This window comes from Homo sapiens, chromosome 9 (assembly GCF_000001405.40).
Source record: "Homo sapiens chromosome 9, GRCh38.p14 Primary Assembly".
Taxonomy (NCBI): domain Eukaryota; kingdom Metazoa; phylum Chordata; class Mammalia; order Primates; family Hominidae; genus Homo; species Homo sapiens.
In genome coordinates this window covers 23229392-23234618 of record NC_000009.12, presented here as the reverse complement: position 1 = coordinate 23234618, position 5227 = coordinate 23229392, and the positions used below count along the sequence as shown (strand labels likewise).

The 5227-nt window shown below is 37.0% G+C and overlaps 2 annotated features.

Annotated features, from left to right (window-relative positions):
- Nucleotides 3923-4462: an enhancer, noted in NCBI's record as "OCT4-NANOG hESC enhancer chr9:23230155-23230694 (GRCh37/hg19 assembly coordinates)". NCBI's record gives its function as "activates a minimal SCP1, AML or CMV promoter by ChIP-STARR-seq in primed H9 embryonic stem cells {active_cell/tissue: H9 hESC(primed)}" and the evidence as "EXISTENCE:reporter gene assay evidence [ECO:0000049][PMID:30033119]".
- Nucleotides 4463-5003: an enhancer, noted in NCBI's record as "OCT4-NANOG hESC enhancer chr9:23229614-23230154 (GRCh37/hg19 assembly coordinates)". NCBI's record gives its function as "activates a minimal SCP1, AML or CMV promoter by ChIP-STARR-seq in primed H9 embryonic stem cells {active_cell/tissue: H9 hESC(primed)}" and the evidence as "EXISTENCE:reporter gene assay evidence [ECO:0000049][PMID:30033119]".

Genomic DNA, 5227 nt, shown 5'->3' with positions numbered 1-5227 from the left:
CGCTTTACAGATAAGCTAACTGAATATTGAAGTAGTTTCCTAATCTGCCAAGTTATAGTGCAAGTGAGTGACAGTGCTAGAATTGAAACCTAGGATATCTTGCTGAACACACCATGCTGCTGGAGACATAATGCTCCCAGCCACTTTGCTTTACTGATTCTTGTTTCCTCCTTATTTCCTGATAATGGACTCCCAGTGCTGACCTCTGTGGGGACCCGTTCTATACTGACTGGTTTGAGTGTTCTCAGCTTGTGTTGTGCCCATGACCACTTTGGTCAGAAAGGAATGTTTGTTTACCTTCAAAAAAATGGTGATTAGGGCTGGGTAGGGTGGCTCACACCTGTAATCCCAACACTGAGAAGTGAGGCAGGAGGATAGCTTGAGACCAGGAGTTTGAGACCCCATGTCCACACACACACACACACACACACACACACACACAAAATTAGCTGAGACATGGTGGTGTGGTGCGTACCTGTAGTCTCAGCTTCTCAGGAGGCTGAGGCAGGAGGGTGACTTAAGTCCTGGAGGTTGAGACGGCAGGGAGGAGTGATTGCAACACTGTACTCCAGGTAGCCAGGGCAACAGAGTGAAACCCTGTATCTCTCTGAAAAAAAAAAAAATTAATGTGATTATTGAAGCAGATATCATGATTCTAATTTTATTCACCTTAGAATATTTTGCAAAATCCAATAAAAGTCATGAAGACAAAATTGCCTTTTCTATCTCAGACTATGACATCCATACATAAGTTAAATTTTATTTTCCAACTGTTAAGTGGAATAACGTTTCTTCACTTCCAGTTCTTTAACAGTTTTATTAATATGTAACTGATATACAGTAAAGTGCATATATTTAAAGTGTACAGTGTGACATATTTTGACGTATGAGCACCATTAACACAATCAAGATAATGATGAACATAGCTCACCACCCACAAGGTTTCCCTTGCTCACTTTTGTACCTCTGTTACCAGGGGCAAATGACTTTCTGGGGGAACTCCACAGGAAAAAGGGAAGAAAGCCTCAGATGGGAATGCATACAACTTCCTAAACCTCTGTTACCAGTGGCAAATATCAGTGTTTATGGTGGCAAATCTGTAAGGGTCTGTAGCAGCGTCAGTTCTTGCCTCCTCAGAAGAAATAATTCAACTCATGGGCATAAGGCAGAAAAAGAGACCAAGGCAAGTTTCAGAGTAGGAGTAAAAGTTTATTTAGAAAGGCTTTAGAACAGGAAAGAAAGGAAAGTTCACTTGGAAGAGACTCAAGTAGGCACCTGAAGGCCAAGTGTGCTGTTTAACAGCGATCCTAAGACTTTTATAGGCTGGCCCCTTTCCCACGATTCTTTCCTTAGGGTGGGCTGCCCACGTGTGCAGTGCCCCTGCTACCCCTGGGAAGTGAGCACATGCAGTGTGTTTAGGAAGTTGTATGCATTCCCATCGGAGGCTTTCTTCCTTTTTCCTGTGGAGTTCCCCCAGAAAGTCATACTCTGCCATGTTGTCTCTTAATGGGCATGCCCAGGAAGTTGTTTCTCCCTGTTGCCTGCATTCAATTAACACTTCAGTGCAACAGGTGTGAACCATCAGGAAATGGCCTATCCCTGGTGCTGGCTGCCAACTTATCACTTTTAGTGAGGCATTGTGATAATTGCCAAGCCATCACCTGACATTCCTAGTGGGTGGGAGAGCCCTCTCCTGCTCTGCTCATGCCTGTATAACTACCTGGAACACCACCACATGGCCCTTCCCAGGCAACCAGCGTTCTACTCTCTCTTATGATAGAATAGTTTGTATTTTCTATAACAATTTAAACGACGTTATACAGTATGGATTTTGTTGTCTGGGTTTTGTCTGGGTTTTTTACTCAGCATAATTATTTTGAGATTCAGAATGTTGCCACATGTATGAGTAGTTCATTTCTTTGTATTGCTGAGTTGTGTTCCATTGTATGATATATATCAGTGTTTTTAGCATTCATCTGTTATGAGTTAACCTCTTGATGGACATTTGGGTTTTCCGTTTTGGGCTATTACAAATGAAACTATTATGAACATTAATGACAAGTCTTTAAGTGGACATAGGCTTTGTCTTGAGTTAATATGTAGGAGTAGGTGGCTGGATCATATGTCAGGCACATGTTTAATTCTGTAAGAAACTGTCAAACTGTTTTCCAAAGTGGTTACCATTTTACATTCCCACCAGCAGTGAATGAGAATTTCAGTTCCTCACATGTTTGGTAATACTTGATATGGTCAGCTTTAGTTTTTAATAAGAGTGCAGTTGTATTTCCTATGGTTTCCCATCCAGTTTAAAAGTAAATAAAAGGAAGGTTTTAAAAATTAATCCCTAATAGATTTTCATAAAATTCAAGTTGTAAAAAATTAAACAGAGAGCAACATTTAAAAAGATATGTGCAAATTTTTAAACAGTTTTAAAATTTATTAATATCCCTTTTCTTTGGAGCTAATTGTAGAGGGAAAGTTAGAAGGCTTATTTTTTTGAAAGTAATTTTGAAGGCTACATTGGATGACATATTCACTTAAAATCCAAGTGTTATAACAAATCAATCGTTTTACTTGACTGGTTTCGGATAACATCATGTCAAAACCCAAACACCTCCCGTTAGACCCCACCTCCAACATCAGGGATCAAATATGAACATGAGATTTGGAAAGGACAAACAAACCGTATCCAAATTATAGTAACTGTGTTCCTTAGTGAATATGAAACCAAGCCAAACCAAACCAAAACAAAAACTGATTCATAGTAACTTATTAAATTGTCCAAAGTCTGGACAATTAAATTGTCCAAAGAAAATTAGTGATTGAATTAGTGCTAAAATGTATGTTTCTTTACTTCTAAACTGATGTCATGCTACTTCTCATATGTTGATATATTGTATGCATTGTGCTGGATTTAATATGCAGTTGGGAAAATTTGAGTGTGTAATAAAAGGATACATAGCTCTTGTTTAAAGTGTGATGAAAAGTGCTTATGGTATTCAGTATGCAGAAGAGGAAACAAATCACTCAATTGGTGCATCTTTCAAGGTGTGGAAAAGACCCAGTCAAACATGTAACATGTTTGTATGATTAGAGGAAGGTCTCTTTCTTGCTAATATTAAGAAAATACTGTAAGAAGTTACTTCAAAAGGAATTTTGGGAAAATATGATAGCAAATTATATAAGAAGAAAAGATTGAAGGAAAGCAAACTAAGAATAAGTAAGAATTGCAAAAATGCTGTGTAGAGATGGGCTTGCAGGAAAAACAAGATATATGCATGTAAAAATAAATCACAAGAATAAGATGCCCAAGATATAAGAATCTATCACTCATAAGATTTCAGAATACAGAAGGGCGATGGTACAGAACCTGAGAAAAAGACAAAATAAACTTTTAGATCTCAAAGGGAAGGGGATATATAAATAATAGTTGAAAGGAAATCTTTGAAGGGCTAAACAAAATAATTTAAAAATGCAAGCTCCTAGAAATAGAAATTGTAGATTTCCTTTGAAAAGAGGAAAACTTACAGGGAAACAGATTTTCCATGAACCACTTGCATTTGTGACTTGTAATATCAGAGAAGCTAGATATATGTTTAATTTAGAAAACATTACAAAATACATGACATTTATGTTAGAAGATATATGATTGTAAGTATGATTAGGGGAGGGGATACAATGATTTTTATAATATTCCACTCCTTTTGAAGTGGTGGTTCCACCCAATTAATTAGCACTACTAGGTGATAATTCATTGACGTTACTTGTAATAATGGACCAAGTTTTATTTAAAAAACTAATAGAAATAAATATGAACTTAAATAAATAAAAACTTAAGAAAGAAGTAAAAGGTGTTGGATGTCAAAAAGATCAGACATATAATACAGTGGAGAAAGTCTGATAGTATGCATGTAAAGGATATTAGTGTTGCAGTGAGTAGATGCTAGGTGGTATCAACTCATGTCATGGAATGGATGATTTTTATAATTACTTCTATTTATAGTCCAAATTCAAAATAAGAGGAAGCAGAAAAACTGAAAAAAAAATTGACCTCCCTGTGTCATTGCTCTTTTAATTTTTTCATTTAAAAGGGAGTTTACTTTCAGTAATGGTTTAGTTTAGATTCAAACTGGGCCATGCTTTCTTAGTAACAGCTGAAGTGGCATGGTTGTTTTTTCTAATGTCAGTCCAAATGTTGCCATAAAAGGTCACATATATTATTATATCATATGAAGAGTCAATGTTAACTACTACCTTAGATACATTGTCATGGCTATTAATTCAGTCCTTTGAATTGTCAAGGATGTTGATAGTGTGTTCAGCTTTGATGCATTGTCGCACTCTCCATGCAGACGAGAGCTGAGTTTGCTGCTGATTGGTGCTGGTCCATCTCCATCACAAAGCACAGATTCATTCCCTTTGACTTTGCCTCTCATCCTTGTAATTAAGACTCCTTTGATTTTGTTTGGCAACTCACCATCTGTAGAAAAGGAGGGCAAGCACAGAAAGCTGGCGTTTTCACAATTTCACAGGGTCCTTGATTAAACTCCGTTTAATTCAGAGAATCTTAATCAAGGTAATTATCTGATGGAGGGTGTCTGCGTCTGTCCTCACCCCTCTTGTGGTTTCCTCCAACAGCTGGAAGGTGTTTTGAATGTGGCAGCTCTCCACAATGGGCCCACTGTGGAGGAGCACTGCGGGTATCAGCAGCTCTGTTTAGCATAGTCCTGAGTGTATGGCTATATTGATTTGTTTTTAAAACCTTCCAAATGTGTACAAAGCAGGCTGCTTATTTTGTGCCAAAAAACTAGATTAGCTAATTTGAGATAATGCAGAATTCAACCCTTTAATATATTTTTCAATAATTTTCCAAATTCTCACACCAAAGTGCATTAATTACTTACCTAGCACACTTTACTAATTTCTCGAAAATGCAAGAGGAATTTCAATCCAGAGGAAGACCAGGGGTCATACTCAATTCATACATCAGTCATTTTATGCCATTTCGGATTTACTAGATGCTAAACATATTAACTTTGTTAACTAGCCAACATTGGCAGAACATGTTGATCTCTGGCAAATTTAAAGTTCTGATAGTTAAAATTGTTTTAAGAACTAGTATTTATGCATAACTAATGAGCTTAGCATTTTGTTGTATTATATTGTTTTGTTCAAGAAGGTTCATCTGCAGTTTGGAGTACACAGATTTTCTTAAAAATAATCCAGG